Source organism: Homo sapiens, chromosome 4, assembly GCF_000001405.40.
Source record: "Homo sapiens chromosome 4, GRCh38.p14 Primary Assembly".
NCBI lineage: Eukaryota > Metazoa > Chordata > Mammalia > Primates > Hominidae > Homo > Homo sapiens.
The window spans coordinates 139,651,319-139,669,145 of record NC_000004.12 but is presented as its reverse complement, the minus strand read 5'-3'; the positions used below and the strand labels follow the sequence as shown (position 1 = coordinate 139,669,145).

The window sequence follows — 17,827 nt, the reverse complement described above, 5'->3', positions numbered from 1 at the left end:
CATGATGGGGAAAAGGTGTCAGATGTGCCTCATTATATCCTCCGCCCTTTGGAATTCAGGCATAACTGACCAGCATTAACATTGAAACAGACCTTAATGTTAGTCCAAACTACACCATTTTGTAAGCCCCCTGCCATTTCACAGGCCTTTGTCAAAGTGAAACATTCCATGGGGGTTCGGGCCCTGAGAAATCCTGCCTAGCCACCTGACCACAAGACACAGGAACATCTTTATCATACCCTGCCAAGCAAAGACCCAACTGAAGAAATATCCCTATCAAATCCTGACAGAGCCCAAGGAATATCCCTGGCCAAACCACCTGAACATAAGAACATCTTATCAATATCCTCCAGGGCAGCAAGCCATACTGCCCAAAACCCTCCTGCCCATACCTGTACATACCCCAGCCTGTAAGCAATGGCGGGCTCTGGCATTAAGCTGGTCCCCCACCTCCACAGGTTTTTGTAATAAACCTGTGTTGTTGTAAAGCCTCTCTCTCTCTCCCTCTCCCCCTCTACCCCCTCCCCCTCCTCTCTCTCTCTCTCTCTCTGTGTCTTTCTTGAACCCCACCTTCCCTTTAAAAAATCTAACACTTAAGACTTTTTGTAGAAATAAGACACCAAATTCCAGCCTGACTCCAGTATAGCATCACATGACAGATAGCAGGCCTTGAAAGAAATTGAAGTATTTTACCCTAAAATATATTTCTTTGTCATATTTTGAAATGGTCCTGCAAAGTTGTCTCTTGTGGGGAAAGTCTACATTCTGTAGAAAATCCCTTTCCCTTGCCAGGTCTTTTCTCTGATCCAGGAGAGAATTAACAGAGTCTGGCACCTTTTCAAGTCTCATAAGAAACATTTACAATCTATTCTCTCCAAACGCTGCTACCTGGAAGCTTCATTTGCATAGTAAGAACCTTGGCCTCCACAACCCCTTATCTTAACCCAGGCACTCCCTTCTATGGATTTGAGGTCTGTAGATAAACTCTTTTAATCAATTGCCAATCAGAAAATCTTTAAATCCACCTATGACCTGGAAGCCCATGCCCCACTTCCAGTTGTCCCGCCTTTTGGGACCAAACTAATGTACATCTTACATGAATTGGTTGATGTCTTATGTCTCCCTAAAATGTATAAAACCAATCTGTAGCCAGACCCCTTTGGGCAGATGTTCTTAGAATCTCCTTGGGCTGTGTCACCGGCCACTCGTCCCTCATGTTTGGCTCAGAATACAGCTTTTCAATTATTTTACAAAGTTCAACTCTTCATCAACATCTTTTTTTTTTCTTTGAGATGGAGTCTCGCTCTGTTGCCAGGCTGGAGTGTAGTGCTGTGATCTCAGTCCACTGCAACCTCCCCCTCCCAGGTTCAAGCGATTCTCCTGCCTCAGCCTCCCTAGTAGCTGGGACTACAGGAGCGTGCCACCATGTCCAGCAAATTTGTGTATTTTAAGTAGAGACGGAGTTTCACCATGTTGGCCAGGATGGTCTCGATCTCTTGACCTCGTGATCCACCTGCCTTGGCCTCCCAAAGTACTCGGATTACAGGGGTGAGCCACCGTGCCCGGCCCTAACACCTTGTCATTAAACATTCCCTGTCCACCATTAATCATCATTCACCCAGTCTCCTCTCCTCTCTCCCCACCCCTACCCCCACTCCATCCAGCCCCCTAACATTCTGGCCCCAGTTCACACAGCCCCCTGCACAAGCAGCAAACAGGGAGGATGAGCACCTCTGTCAGCTTTGGGACATCTGTGGACCTGCAGGCCTAGGATAAAGGCGCATGCAGGTTTGGTAGCACCTGTGAGTCAGGATGCTACCAACAGTGAGCCTTAGACCTGCTAAATTAGGTTTAGCCTAAAGCTGCCTTCTGACATATTTTAAGTTCAGCCTAAAGGTTTCTCCGTACATCGTGAACTATATGCTTCCGTTTTCTGGGAGTCGCTTTCCTTTTTCTGTCCATAAATCTTCTTCTACCACGTGGCAGCCCCAGAGTCTCTCTGAACCTATTCCGGTTCCCCATGCCCAACTGTGAATCGTTCTTTGCTCAATTAAACTCAGTTAAATGTAATTTGTCTAGGGTTTTCCTTTTAACAGATCTAAGTGCTTCTTTAATTAGAAACAAATATCCTGCTCTTCTCCACAACAGATTGTGTGAATCAAACCACAAAACGTGAGTCTGAAGGTTCAAGATCTTCATACAATCTCAAAACAGACTGGCTAGGCAAGACATTGAGCATGCACGGAGGCCTGGACTGGATCCTCAGCTGTGAGGCCTTCCTGCTTCTGGCTGTTTGTGTAACCTGAGCAGTCTACGGCTTGGCCCTATTTCCTGGTACAGGCATACTTGGAAATATAAAGAAATATGCATGCTTGGTAAGAAGTCTTGCACTCTTGCACTCGGACCCCTTTCCCCAGCTGACATTGTAGGTAAGATAATATGAATTGAGCAAATGTGACTCCCATGGAGTAAAAGCCCTCTATTTAACCAGGCAGTCGAGATATTGAATAATCCTAGTGGGAAGCTGTTTTAAAATTTAGAGCTAATTACTTAATCTAAAGCTAATATTTCTGAAGGAAGTTTTTTTCAATCTGATAATCATACCACCATAGGCAGTTTATTTAAGAAAACACATTAATTAAAACATCAACGTTCAAGAAATCACAACCAGGTTTAGAAGCAGGCACGTTTCCTTTGGAACACTTGTAATTAATATTCACACCACTTCCTGCAGGTTAGCAGGCTACTAACGCTCGTTTGAACGGGCTGTGGGTCGTAATCACAGATGATGCAGAATCGCTGAGCTCTGAGGCCCCACAGCGTTCCAGTTGGGAGAACTAATCTCTGGAATGTTCTCAGTCTCTGCTTGCCCCTGGGAAGGAGGGTAGCAGGCGGCATGGGTGACCCTGAGGCGACTGTGCTCTGAGGACCCAGAGCTACCTGCAAGGGCAAGTAGGAAACAAAACACCGGACCCATCTCCCTCCCTCCCTCTCTCTCCCGCAAGCCTTGTCACACACACACACACACGCACACACGCGCACACACACGAACTTCCCATGCCTCTTACTTTGCTGACAGGCCGAGAGAATAGAGACAGCAGCCAGCAGGATCGAGTTCCCGGCCATCTTTCTCACGGAACTATTTGTAGAGCGCACGGGAAGATAAATGGCGCTTCTTGACTTTGAATGCTGACCTTCCTTATCGGGTAAACAAAGTTGGGGACCGGGTGGGGGGAAAAGGCTGATTCAAGCGGCTGAATGACCTTTGCTCTGGAACAGAAGTCAGGAAGGCAGGCAGGTCTGGGGCTGCCGGTCACAGATCTTTATGGGGCTGGGAGTTGCTTCCGGCGTTTGTTTTAAGCCTCTCCCACGGCCAGCGGGCAGGGCTGTAGCTCACTGTGGGACCAGCCCTCCAGCCGCAGTGCCAGTTACACTATCTTCTCTGCCAATGCACAGACTCTCTGGATCCCTTTCATCCCCACGCCCTTCCCTCCTAGGGCCTTGCTGAGACCTTTCTCACCTCCTGTGGAAAAAGTGAGAAGGAACTACTTACTTAATCCTGTTGACATTTTAAATGCTAATTTAAGCCAGTTCTAATGTATTCACGCTCTGAATGGCCGATTTAGGATTTGAACCCAGTCTAGCAGATTACAACTGTGCCCTATCCCCTGCACCAGGCTGCCTCTCACTGTCACCTAGAGACTCTGATAATAATCATACTTTTTTTTTTTAAGACAGGGTCTTGATCTGTCACCCAGGCTGGAGTGTGTGGTGGCACGATCATAGCTCACTGCAGCCTCCAACTCTTGGGCTTAAGTAATCCTCCTGCCTCAGCCTCCCAAGTAGCTAGAACTACAGCCACAAGTCACTGTGCCCAGCCATTTTTAAAAAAATAAACCGGCCGGGCGCGATGGCTCACACTTGTAATCCCAGCACTTTAAGAGGCCAAGGAGGGTGAATCACGAGGTCAGGAGATCAAGACTATCCTGGCTAACACAGTAAAACCCCTTCTCTACTAAAAATACAAAAAATCAGCTGGGCATGGTGGCACGAACCTGTAGTCCCAGCTACGCAGGAGGCTGAGGCAGGAGAATCTGCTCTTTAGAGATGCAGATTCTGGCCTGGAAGGATGGCTCATGCCTGTAATCCCAACAGTTTGGGAGGCTGAAATGGGCAGATGGTTTGAGCTCAGGAGTTCGAGACCAGCCTGGGTAACATGGCAAAACCCCATCTCTTAAAGAAATACAAAAATTAGCAGGGCATGGTGGCACGTGCCTGTAGTCCCAGCTACTTAGGGGGCTGAGGCAAGGGGATTGCTTGAACCCAGGAGCCTGAGACTGCAGTGAGCCAAGGTCGTTCCACTGCACTTCAGCCTGGGTGACAAAGTGAGACCCTGTCTCAAACAAATAATAAAAATAAAGATGCAGCTTCCCAAAAACCAGAGCTGGGGGCCTTTCCTCACCCCATCCTACAGCACCATTAGAGGGTATATCTTGGCTCAAGCTGCTATAACAAAGATACCATAGACTGGGTGGCTTACAATAGCAATTTATTCGTCACAGTCCTGAAGGCTGGGAAGTCCAAGATGACAGTGCTGGCCAATCAGTTCCTGGTGAGGGCCCTCTTCCTGGTTTGCAGAAGGACACCTTCATGTTGGAGACAGAGAAAGAGTAAGCTTCCTGGTCACTTCTTATAAGGGCACAGATCCCATTATGGGGGCCTATGCTCATAACCTCACCTGTAGCTAATTATCTGCCAAATGCCTGATAACATCACGTTGGGGGTTAGGGTCTCAACATATGAATTGCAGAGGGGACACAAACATTTAGTCCCTAGCAGGGAGCTCCCAGTGTCTTCTGGGGAGGGCAGTTGCCTCAGCCTCACACAGACCCTACAATTTAATAACACAACCTTGGGCCTCTCTGAGCCTCCATTTAATAAGATAGGGCTAATAAGAGCTGAAGAGAAGTTTAAATGACATAATCCTATTCTAAGGATTGAATTAGTTAATACTTATAGAGCACTTAAAACAGCACCTGGCATATACAAATGTGTTCTGTGTGTCTGCAAAATAAACACATAAAGTATCTAGACAAGTACTTAGCATATAATGTACCTAATGTTAAAAAATACTTTCAGAGGCAAAAATCATGCCTTTCATACAACATAAAATGAAAACATATCAAAATTTTTATGTAACTCATTCATGAGGGAACCAGTAAGATGTTATAACCAGTTCAAAGTAGAATTCATGGAACTACACATATACAGGAAAGAAGGAATAACAAAATTAATTTATAAATAGTTGCAAGCCAGGTCTGCTCAAAGTTTCTGTTGGTCTTCAGGCTTCCTTGGCTGTTTGCTCTTGAAATCATTGACAACTAAGATTAGATAAGAAAGTAGAGCCAAGAAGCTGGGGCAGCACCAAAACATTCTTGTATACTCAGTTTAATAGTTTTGGGCTTCAGTACATGGCAGAGATTCTAAACTGCAAACTAGCTGCCCTGAACCCATATCACCATCTACTATAATAACCTCCCAAATGACAGATCTCGAAGGAGAGGTCTACATTAGGCCTGGGGACAGGCAGAGGCTCTCAAAGTCAGAGAACGGCTCGGGAAGAGAGGAACAACAGCAGGAGGAGCTGAGCAGAGAATTGTGGCCCTGGCTGATGACTGTAACTTTTGGGTGTTGGTAACTCTTATTTTGAGAAACTCTTGGGTACACCTGTACTAGTCAACTGGTTTAAAATCTACAACTTCCGGCCGGGCGTGGTGGCTCACGCCTGTAATCCCACACTTTGGGAGGCCGAGGTGGGCGAATCACCCGAGGTTGGGAGTTCCAGACCATCCTGGCTAACACGGTGAAACCCCGTCTCTACTAAAAATACAAAAAAATTAGCCGGGCGTGTTGGCGGGCGCCTGTAGTCCCAGCTACTCGGGAGGCTGAGGCAGGAGAATGGCGTGAACCTCGAAAGCGGAGCTTGCAGTGAGCTGAGATCGTGCCACTGCACTCCAGCCTGGGTGACAGAGCGAGACTTCGTCTCAAAAAAAAAAAAAAAATGAAACTTCCCAGCTTCTGGACAAATCCTGAGGTTCCCTACTGACTTCTCCCAGCCAATCTTAAGTCAGTCCCCCAAATCCAGATTCTAAGAGATGGTTGACACAAAGTAAAAAAATAAAAAATCAATTAATCAATAAAATCTCAAGTGCTTCAAAACCCCACGTGTCTATTTAAAAAGATCTTCATTGTCGGTATATGTAGTTATTGCCTCTAGGAAAGTATAAAAGAATAGAGCATTGTATAATGAAATGTTTATCACCTTCTGCAGTGATAAAATTTCCAGGTGACCCACAGCTGAAATACTGCCATAGCATTAACAAAAACTCACAAAAATTAGAGTTTCTCTGTACGTTTTCCCTGGATTGGTTGAAGAGGAATGGCATTTTCCCTGAATGTTGTTCCCATAGATCCTTCTAGTATGTTCCATTTATTACATTTTTCTATGAAAAGGAAAATAAGAGGACAAACAGCATACTGGTAATTGCTATGGTCTGAATGTTTGTCCCCTCCAAAACTCATGTTAAAATTTAACTTCCATTATAATGGTATTAAGAGGTAGGACAATAAGGGGTGATTAGGCCATGAGAGCTCTGCTCCCATGAATGGATTAATGTTGTTATAGGAGTGGATTGTTATAAATGTGAGCTTGGCCCTCTCTTGCCCCCCCGCTTTGGGATGACATAGCACAAAGGTCCTTACCAGATGCCAGCACCTTGATATTAAACCTCCTAACCTCCAGAACTGTGAGAAATAAATTTCTTTTCTTTATAAATTACCCAGTGTGTGGTATTCTGTTATAGCAACAAAATGGAATAAGACAGTAATGATAGTAAAATGTTTTTAAAATATTTTTATTATCTATGTAAACTCAAAAGAAACCTAAAAGACTTTCTGAGGACTTTGGTTACTACTGAATCACTGTTACCAAAACTATACTCTAGGTAAGGTGAAACAGAGAGGCCAAGATTTGATCACATAAAAACAAACCTGAACCATGTAAAAGAACTGCTTTCATGAAATGTGAACTCTAAATGTAACTCTTTCAGTATAATTTTGGTAATAGATGAAAAGAAATGATATATTAAACTATAGAAATGTTTTTCCTCAGCCGGGCATGGTGGCTCACACTTGTAATCCCAGAACTTTGGGAGGCCAAGGTGGGTGGATCACCTGAGGTCAGGAGTTCAAGACCAGCCTAGCCAACATGGTGAAACCCCATCTCTACTAAAAATACAAAAATTAGCCAGGCATGATGGTGCACATCTGTAATCCCAGCTACTGGGGAGGCTGAGACATGAGAATCACTTGAACCCAAGAGGTGGAAGTTGCAGTGAGCCGAGAATGCGCTACAACACTCCAGCCTGGGTGACAGAGCTTGCTCTGCCAAGCTCTGTCTCCATCTCAAAAAAAAAAAAAAAAAAAAAAAAAGGTTTTTCCTCAAACCAATTGCAACCCCCGCAAATTATTCCCTGGTCTCACCCTCTCTGTTCACTTGCTACCCTTCCAAAATTGACAGCACATCATCCAGGTTTCTGCTGAGCACTACAGCAGGGCTGTCCTCACTGCCATCAGGCCAGGTAGCAGAAAGAGACAGAAAATACACCTCTTTCCCAGGAACTATCAGAGTGATCATGATTATCAATGACCACATAACTCTCCATGTACCCAGAGTTCATTACATTATCTTGCTAGAAGTCCTGACTAGTTGAAGAATCTTGTAACTACACAGCAGTTTTTCTGTGTTTTGTTTTGTTTTGAGACAGGGTCTTACTCTATCACCCTGGCTGGAGTGCAGTGACATGATCATGGCTCACTGCAGCCTCAACTTCCAGGGTTCAAGCAACCCTCCCACCTCAGTCTCCTGAGTAGCTGGGTTTAATAGTGGCTTTAACACAGTAAGTTTTTAAGCAAAGCTCAGATAAACACAATTTGAAATTATGCTCCATTTTGCTACATGTTGCAAAAATTTAGGAAATTTTAGTCATCCTACGGAATATTTTCTCCCATTTCAGAAACTGCAGCATTTTGCTTTGTAGCCCTGAGTGTGAAGAAATGAGCTAAAGAAGGCAAAGGCATTTTATTCCCATTGAGGAGACTTTGCCCTGGACCAGACAGGGCAAAGGGTTACAGTTGAATGCCAGCTACCTTCCAGCAGAAACTGCCCACTACCCAGCACCAGTAATGACATATCAAGGCTCAAAGATAAAGACAGAAAAAGAGAAGAAAGGCAAGGAAAATAAAGATCAGTTACCAATGTAGTGTAGAAAAAAAGAGTACAAGGTTTAAGCTCCTATCTCTGTGTCACGGTGGAAAGTTGCTAAACTTCCTGGACATGTGTTTTCAAAGGGAAATAATAATACTGACCTTGCAGGGTTCCTCTGATGAATAAAGGAAGTCATGTGAAGGAAGCAAATAGCACAGAACCCGGCATGATGCTGGCTGTCCACAGGTGTCACCACCCTGCCCATTCTCTCTGCCATCCTGATGCCCTCCAACCCTGGGCGAAAGCAGAAGAGACTAGGCCTATTTGTTGAAAAGGCCATATTACAAAGCAACAGATGATTTTAGAATGCCATTAGAATTTCTGAGACAGCACAGATTTCCCAGAAGAATAGAAACAGAACATTTGAATTGCTTCAAAATGGCTTTTGACAGTAATAGAGGGTCTCAACCTGAGTTGTCTTAAGTTTGCATAAGGCTTAGGAGAGGATAAAATAAAGCAGGATCTAGAGATTGGTGAGGAGAAATAGAAGTCCCCATTCTTGACAGCTCTCAGCACATGCAGCCCTCCCCACACACACAAAGTCACACACACACACATCCAGATTCATACACATTCCTACGCACACACACCCACACTCATAAACACCCACACACACGCACACACACTTGTGCACTCACACATTCACATTCATGTACTCCCATCACACATTCAAAACACACACTCATACACTTACATACTCTACAAAAACTTACGTTCCAAAAGGAAATTTGTAAGCTGAATGTTTAGACCTCAGAACACATATTTTCACAAAAATAATATTATGGCCAGGAGCGGTGGCTCACGCCTCTAATCCCAACTCTTTGGGAAGCCGAGGTGGGCGGATCACTTGAGGTCAGGAGTTCAGGACCAGCCTGGCCAACATGGTGAAACCCTGTCTCTACTAAAAATAGAAAAATTAGCCAGGCATGGTGTCACGTGCCTGTAGTCCCAGCTACTCTACTCAGGAGGCTGAGGCAGGAGAATCACTTGAACCCAGGAGGCGGAGGTTGCAGTGAACTGTGATCGTGCCACTGCACTGCAGCCTGGACGACAGAGCCAGACTCCGTCTCAAAAAATAATAATAATAATATAAATGGTGGCCATGTTTCCAGGTTACCACACATGAAACAAAACTTTCTATTCTTTTTTTTTTTTTTTTGCTTTTGTGTTTTAAATCAAATTTGAACCCATAAATTAGGTAACATACTGCATATTGGCAATTAAGCAACAACAAAAACAACTAATACTATTGGTTTGCCTTTTTCATGGAATCATTACAAACTTTTTAAACTGAATAGTACTTTGTATTAGATACTTTAAAACAGGGTCACTGGCGTGAACGTGCCCTGGCTCCTGTAGGCCATGCTCAGAGCTCGACTGTTGAACTTGCTGGGATAGAGCAGCAAGAGACGGGACAGCCTGGAGCCCAGAGGCCTGAGGTGTTCTGGATGAGCCCAGGGCTGCTGAGAAGGCCTCACTCTGATGGGGGCCTCTCATGCCCACCCTGCCAGCTCCCAAATCCAGTCAACAGAAGGCACTGTACTAGGCCCTATGCCAACCACTGGACAGAATTATCTCAACTAATCTGCATAGTCAAACAGTAAAGTGCATATATTATTCCCATTCTTCAGATGGAGAAACTGAGGCTGAGAGGTTAGTGACTGGCCCAGAGTCAGTACAACCCAGTCCTGCTGCCCCAGAGCCTTTACTCTTAACTTTGGCTGCACATTGGAATCATGTGAGGAGGGGTCATTAAAAATTACAGAACTTCAGATTTAATTAGCTCAGGTTCAGCCTAGGCACCTGAACGTTTTAAAGCTTCCCAGGTAATCCTAATGCACAGCCAGGTGGAGAACCACTGTCTTAACCAATGTTTCTCAGCATAGCCCATACCACTGCTACCACACTGGAGGTGACAGAAACACACAGATGTCTGGGCCTCATCCAGGATCCATTATGACACGCCAGCAAAGCACACATGGTCTCATGTAACTTGCACAAAACTCCCAGGAGCCTGTAAATTATTCCCATTTTATAGATAAGGAAACTGAAACTGAGACCTAGAAAGCTTCAAGAGCTTGACAAATCACTCCATTTGACTGCATCCAAAAGAGGGAAGATGGGGCAGGGCTGTTGAGGGGGTGAATAATCTGGTAGGTGCCCAAAGTGAGCATCAGTGGTGCCAGGATAGAGGAGAAAGGGGTGTGGAAGGTTCTGCAGTGGCAGAAGGGAAGAGGTGAGGCTGGGAATAGATGGGACCTGTAGGCCTCACGGGTGCAGCCCAGGAGAAATGCTGGTTTCCACTGGAGGAGTTTACAGTATGCCTGGGTGGAAGAGAGAAGGACAGACAGACATGGGAGGGAAATCTGAGGCTGAGATGGGGCAACAGGCTCTGAGGCACCAGCAAAGGTAAGTGTGGCTGGAGCCGAGTCTCAGCTGATTGGGCCCAGTACTTCCCCGCCCACTGGCTTTGAAGTGCATGGAGACTGGTGATTCTCACATTAGAATCACCAAGGGCGTTTTTGAAATAAACACTGATTTAACTGAAAAATCTCCAGGACTACCAACTACTGCCTCAGAGAACTTACTGAGATTTCTATGCACCAGAGGAGAGTTTACTCTCTTGAAACCTACAGCATATTATGTGATTGGGCTACTTAAAGAAAAAAAGGGGTACCGTGGCTTCACTTGGTGTCTCTCTGGGGCTTAAGGCAAAAGAAAAAGGGCAAGCTACCCCTCTTTTGATGAGAAAACACAAAAGGTTGGTGGATTAAGAACAAACAGTTAAAAGCAGCTCTTATTCACTTTGAAATGTGGTGCTAAACCTGCATCTGGGCTGACACACCAAACAACAGTCATTTCAACACAGCACAATCCTGTTAGAACATGACTCACAAAAACACCGATGTGTCTAGATCGGAGGCCAAGTCACGTCCTGCACAAAAAGAAAGGAAACACAGCAAAACAAGAAACCTACTGGCCCCAAACAGGAAAGCCCTCCTGTGCATGCGGGCCTGTGACTGCATCCTTCAGCTACCTTAGCAAGATGATAAAGAACTTTGAAAACTGCTTGCCTGCTTCTCTTTTCTTTCTTTCTTTCTTTCTTTCTTTCTTTCTTTCTTTCTTTCTTTCTTTCTTTCTTTCTTTCTTCTTCCTCTTCCACTTCTTCCTTTCCTTTCTCCGCCTCTCCCTCCCCTCCTTCTCCTCCCCTTCCTCCCCCTCCCTTCTCCTCCTCCTCTTCCTCCTTCTTCTTTCTTTCTTCTTGTTCTTCCCTCGTTCTTCTTTCTTTTCTTCTTCCCTCCTGCTTGCCCTTAGGGTGTGCCTGGTTCTCACCTTTGCTTCTGGGACTTGGGCAGGATGATATCCTCAGAATTTCAGTTTCTGGCCATTCCCAGACAAACCTGTCTGGGACAGGAATTCCAGACAAAACAGCTTATCCGCCCTTCCACGCCCTCTCCTGCATGAGCCTATTTTTCATTCTCTTCTCAGAGGTCCCACTGGCTGGTCATCTAATTTCATCCCTAATTTGTAGTAGAAGGATTCTAACAGCCACACATTTAGAGCTAGGAGCTGCAGTTTAAGGTGCTCTATCAAAATAACATATTTTGTGAAACCGCTAGGGGGAGTCAATCCAGGGCTGCCAGACCTGCCGGGATAACACCACCAGAGGCAGCTCAGCTTCCAGGCAAGCCACCCTCTGAGGTCCCTGTGATAGCTTACTCCTCCAGGTTTCCAGAAGTCCCTACAGATGCACATCAGTGAAAATGGAACAAGTCAGTTAACACAAACTGTCAAAATCATCTCTAAATAATGTCCTATAAAAATTCAGTTTTTCAGGTATGAACACATTGACCATTTCCAGCAAGCGACCTGTAACAGTCAATTGCTCAAAACCCACAGGTGCTCAAATGTAAAAATACCAGGATTTAACCGTTAGTCCTGATCCACTCAGAGCTAGACGGAAGCCAAACACAGACGCTGCCCCAGAGACGTACATTCCATGGAGAAGGGTCAGAAAAGGACACTTTACGTTTGGCATCCCTGTGGCAAACTGCGAGGGGATAGAGGAGGGGTGAGAAAAGACACAAGGTTTCCACCTGGTGGTGGGGAAATCCCTAGCCAAGGGGATGCCCGTTTTTTGATCAATATTCCGAGGAATTGGATACCACACCTTGGACTTTGATTTGATCCCTTGATGTACCCCTAGCTTTTAAAGTGGCTTGGTTAAAAAAAAAAACAAAAACTTTGCAAAAATTATTTGGAAAGGAGTGGGTCAGAGAGCTGGGCAGTGTCTGAAGAGTTTCTCAAGATCAGGCAGACAGTTTGGTTGGTAAAACATCCGAGAACTGGGTTTTTATTCATACTGGAATGAGGGTACTGCTTTGCAATGAAAGAGAAAAATCTAAAGCAAGGAAAGGGGGCCAGGTGCAGTGGCTCACGCCTGTAATCCCAGCAACTCAGGAAGCTGAGGCAGGAGGATCGCTTGAGTCCAGGAGTTCTAGGCTGCAGTGAGCTATGACTGCACCACTGCACTCCAGCCTGAGCTGCCATCTCAAAAAAAAAAGAAAAGAAAAAAGAAAGAAAGAAAGGAACAAACCAGAAAATAGCAATGCACATAAGGCCGGGCGTGGTGGCTTATGCCTGTAATCTCAGGATTTTGGGAGGGCGAGGCGGGCGGATCACTTGAGGTCAGGAGTTCAAGACCAGCCTGGCCAACATGGTGAAACCCCATTTCCACTAAAAATACAAAAAAATAGCCAGGTGTGATGGCATGCTCCTGTAGTCCCAGCTACTCGGGAGGCTGAGGCAGGAGAATCACTTGAATCTGGGAGGCAGAGGTTGCAGTAAGCCGAGATCGCCCCACTGCACTCCAGCCTGGGAGACGGTGCAAGAATCCTTCTCAAAAAAAAAAGAAAAAAAAAAAGAATGTGCATAAGTTCATTTATTCATTCATTCATCAAATGCATTGAGTACCTACCACATGCCAAGCTCCATACTAAGTGCTGAGACCCAGGAATAAGCAAGACAGACAACAGCCCTGCTCTTACAGTATTTACAGCAGAGTGAGGAGGATGTACATTAACAAGCCATAACCAAAGCGAATTAATTCATGATCAATGTGGGGAGTGCTGTGAGAGGTCCCAACTGCCATACGAATGTATGTCAGGGGGCCTAACCTAGTCTGGGAGGCAAGAAGAGCCTTCGCAAAAGTGACATTTTGGCTGAGGACTGATCCTAAAGTGTTAGCTAGATGAATGGTGCACAGGTGTGTGTGTGTCAGAGGGTGGACTGGAAGGAGAAAGGGGAATATTCCAGGCTGAGAAAGAACAGGAAAAGGCTTGTAGAGGGAAAGGCTATGGCATGGTCAAAGAATCCTGAATGAAGTCCGGTGTGGCTGTTGCTTAGAGACCTGGAAGAGAGTAGTGTCTGCTGTGCCAGGGTTGGCCCACATAGGGTCATGTTAAGTATGCTTACTTCATACCGGCTGTTCTCAACCTGGGATGATTTTGTCCTCAGGGGACATTGGGTGATGCCTGTAGACATTTTACTTATTACAGCTGGGGAGTGAGGTGCTACTGGCACCTAGTGGGTAGAGTCCAGAGATGCTGCTAAATATCTTATGTTGCACAGGGCAGCCCCCACAGCACAGCAAAGAGTTGCCCCGCTCACAATGTCAGTAGTGCTGAGGTTGAGAGACCCTGTTTACAAGGAGGATGTGAAGCCTGTCATGGGTTTTAAGCTGGAAGGTTTTGTGATGAGATTTGTTTCAAAAAGATCACTCTGACACCAGTGTGGACTGATGGGGCAGTATCACTCGTGTAGATACGAATGGATCTGTTAGGAAAGCATATTATGGTCTAGGCAAGAGAAGATGTTGGCCTGGCCTAGGGAAATGTCAGTGTGGATGGAGAAAGAGATTTAAAAGAACAAATCAATTGCATTTCAGGGCAGATGGGTTGTAGAGGGTCCCTTAGCCCATGCTTTCTAGACAAGGCTGGAATGCTGAGGCTTTATTTGGCGGGTGCAGTATCAGGGCAGCAAAAGTGATGGGAGAGCCAAGTATGGCAGATTGGCCAGAAGCAGAGCATGTCCACGTGGGGTGCTGCTTCAGATGCCCTGTGATGAGATGTAGCCAGTCACTGCACAGGCACCCCAGCCAGCCCTCGGGGAATCTCTGGACAGGCTGAGTGGAGAAACTGCACCTCAGCACAATCCACTGAAGGGAGGAAAGGAGAGGGAACTTATTTTCTTTTATTATATATATTTTTTAACTTTTATTTTAAGTTCGGGAGTACATATGCAGGTTTGTTACATACATAAACGTGTGTCACGGGGTTGGTTGTGCAGATTATTTCATTATCCAGGTATTAAGCCTAGTACCCATTTGTTATTTTTCCTGATCCTCTCCCTCCTCCCACCCTCCACCCTCAGAAAGGACCTGGTATGTGTGTTCCCTCCATGTGTCCATGTGTTCTCAGGACTTTGTCTTCTACACCTCATCTCCCATTGGGGCAGTTTCCCCCATGGCAGTTTTTAAACAGAACTGCAAATTCTTTGCCATTTCTCCCGTCTTGAGGTGGGGACACGCAGCAGGAGTGATGCTGGGCAGCTTCTGCTTTATTCACCGGGGCCCTCATGCTTGGAGCCCTCGGCTGCCATGAGAGAAATCAGCTACCCGAAGGGCACCATGTGAGCCCACGTGTAAGGGCTCTGGGTGACAGCTCCAGCTATGGCCCCAGCACGCAGCCCCACCTGCATGGATATACGTTCATATGATTCTAGCCCACAGCTGTGGGGGCACTCCCAGCCATTGTCTCCTCAGCTGAGGCCTCAGACATTGAAGAGCAGAGACATGCCAGTCCTACCGTGCCCTACTGACCCACATAACTCATTAGAGCCTAATTAAATGGTTGTTATAAACCCCTAAACTTTGGGGTACTTTGTCACACCTGAGTAGTCACCAGAACAACCTCATTGCAAGGTAACAACTCAGCTTCCCAGGGTTCATCATTTGGCTCCAGTGATACCACCCCATGCCCTGCAAGTGTGGCACTTCAGACAGGAGCCAGGGACACCAGGAGTATGGCTGGTGGCCCTTAGGTGGCAGGATTGCAGAGGCCCCACCGGAAGTCAGCTGGCCACAGCAGAGCCAAGGTAGAGTGCATGATTGAAAATTCAGGAGACAGGATGAGCTCCAGAAAATTGGGCGCTGCACTGGACGTGCCTGATAAAGCAAAGAGGGAGAGAAAAGAGGAGTTAAGGATTTCCACATTTCTGGTTTCTGAACAGCTAGATACATTAATGATGGGGCAATTTACTGCCACAGAATTTAGACCAAAGGAGGGGGCTAGGTTTGAAGTGCCTGTGAGTCCATTAGAAATGACAAGAAGTGGGAGCCCAGGTCACCAAAGATGGTCAAGGTCATTGATCTTGAGACCACAGGGCCCCAAGAAGGCTTAAGGGTCTGTCCCTGATTCTTGTTTCCTGTGTGAGAAATATTTTGCAGGTGTCAGGCTGGGACTCTTGACCAGCTGAATTACGTATTTCCAGAACAGGGTGTTAAAGAAGACAGAAGCGACCCCAGGAAAAAGCGTGGCTTCCACAAGAGCTGCCATATACAAACAAGCATGCCCCACAACGCTGGCAGGAGAGATATCATCAGATTTATTTATTTATTTATTTATTTATTTATTTATTTATTTATTTATTATTTGAGACAGGGTCTTGCTCCATTGCCCAGACTGGAGTGCAGTGGCAAGATCTCTCTTGGCCCATCAGATATATATTTTTTAAAAACTGGGAGGAGAAGTGCAGGCGCAGTGGCTCACGCCTGTAATCCCAGCACTTTGGGAGACCAAGGCATGTAGATCACAAGGTCAGGAGTTCAAGACCAGCCTGGCCAATATGGTGAAACCCCGTCCGTACTAAAAATAAAAAAATTAGCTGGGCGTGGTGGCAGGCACCTGTAGTCTCAGCTACTCAGGAGGCTGAGGCAGGAGAATCGCTTGAACCCAGGAGGCGGAGGTTGCAGTGAGTTGACAGTGTACCACTGCACTCCAGCATGGGCGACAGACCAAGATTCTGTCTTAAAAAACAAAACAAAACAAAACAAAAAACTGGGAGGGGAAAATATTTTTTTATTTTCTAATATGTTAGAACCCTTTCTCAATGTGTAACTCTCCTCATTCTTCTCCCTCTCATCTTTAACCAAAATTGTAAATGTTCTACATGTGCATCATGTTAGTCTATCAGGTGTTATTTAGATAATTGGTGCCTTTGACTTACATTCTTGTAAACGTTGCTTTAGTTCATAAACTCATAATATTCCCAGACCTGAAGCCTGTCTTAAAATTGATAATGTAAATCATCTAGGTCTGAATGCCTAAAGTGATGGGGAGCTCACCACCTCTTGTTTCTGGTCATAGGTAGGTGAGATCCCTTCTGCAGCAAGAAGTCAGGGGCAGGCCTGTGACACTAGCTCTGATTCCTGCAAATGACCAAATGAGGGGCAGGGCCTGGTGGTCTCCCAGTCCCAGCTGAGGCTCCCATGACCTGCACCCTCCTGCCCTCCCAACTCTCAGGTTCTCCCAACAGCCCTCCCCCAGCTAATTTCATAAAAGGCACTAAAAACTTTTGATCAGTCACAAAATCATGGGAAGAGAAAGAAATACAAGAAGAGAGAAAGAAGGGAAAGTGGCGTGAATCATTAACAAAGGCACCACATCCCTGATACTGTACTGTTCTGGGTGCTTTTTTCTCAATGAATTCTCACAAAATCCTGTTGGTATTAGTGATTCATATTTCTTACATATAGAAACTGAGTCGCAAAGAGGTTATTACTTAACTTGCCCAAGATCGTACAGCTAATAAGATGCAGAGATAGAGTCCACTTTTGACTCCAGTCCAGTGCTCTTTGCACTATTGCTTTCTTCCCAGGAGTCATTGTATCCACTCCTCTTAAAGAAAGGAAGGCGTTAAGTTTGGGATAGACTGTGTATGCACAAGAACCACTGTACCTCTCCCTGAACGCCACCAGATGGCGCAGTGGAAGGCTAAAATCCTGTTGCTTTTTATCAGTTCACTTGGCGAGACAGGCGTGGGGGAGGCCAGCTGCAGGGAGAATGTCAAAACAGAGTTCTATTTAGGAAAATGAAGCCTTCTGCCTGCCCCGTCTCCCACCGGGATCCTTGGATGGCTCTCGGCAGACTATAAATGAATTCGCTTCTTTCTTCCTTCCCCATCCTACTGCTAACCCACATCTCTGATTCTATTTTCTCTCCATCTCTGACACAAGGGCACTAGTTCCACCCACATCAGAGAATAGTGTGTCCTGAAGACAGAGAGGAGCAGGCAAGATGGGTGGTAGGGAGAATCAAGACCTGCAGTTCCCTGTAGCAACTGGAGGGGCATTTCCCAGACATATCCCTTCCTGCCTGCTTACCCAACACGCACACACACACACACACACACACCATAACACAGACATGCACAACACACACA

At 45.8% G+C, this 17,827-nt stretch overlaps 1 protein-coding gene across 8 annotated transcripts in view, besides 3 other annotated features; it reads right to left on the bottom strand.

Annotated features, from left to right (window-relative positions):
* MGST2 (microsomal glutathione S-transferase 2) overlaps positions 1-3,327 on the bottom strand; it is an 88,800-nt gene extending 85,473 nt beyond the window's left edge. For all 8 annotated transcript variants that reach the window (XM_017008211.3, XM_047415701.1, NM_001204366.2 and 5 more), the window contains exon 1: positions 3,069-3,327. In XM_017008211.3, the coding sequence (XP_016863700.1) occupies positions 3,069-3,126 (58 nt within the window). In that variant the 5' untranslated portion in view covers positions 3,127-3,327. The remainder of the gene's footprint in view (positions 1-3,068) is intronic.
* Positions 2,569-3,768: an enhancer, noted in NCBI's record as "BRD4-independent group 4 enhancer chr4:140586532-140587731 (GRCh37/hg19 assembly coordinates)". NCBI's record gives its function as "activates an origin of replication core promoter dependent on BRD2, P300/CBP, MED14 and CDK7 cofactors, and independent of BRD4, by STARR-seq in HCT116 cells {active_cell/tissue: HCT116}" and the evidence as "EXISTENCE:reporter gene assay evidence [ECO:0000049][PMID:35650434]".
* Positions 3,103-3,272: an enhancer, noted in NCBI's record as "active region_21928". NCBI's record gives its function as "activates an Ori minimal core promoter by ATAC-STARR-seq in GM12878 lymphoblastoid cells {active_cell/tissue: GM12878}" and the evidence as "EXISTENCE:reporter gene assay evidence [ECO:0000049][PMID:35858748]".
* Positions 17,297-17,591: a silencer, noted in NCBI's record as "tiled region #6908; K562 Repressive DNase unmatched - State 12:CtcfO". NCBI's record gives its function as "represses a minimal TATA promoter and a strong SV40 promoter by Sharpr-MPRA in K562 cells {active_cell/tissue: K562}" and the evidence as "EXISTENCE:reporter gene assay evidence [ECO:0000049][PMID:27701403]".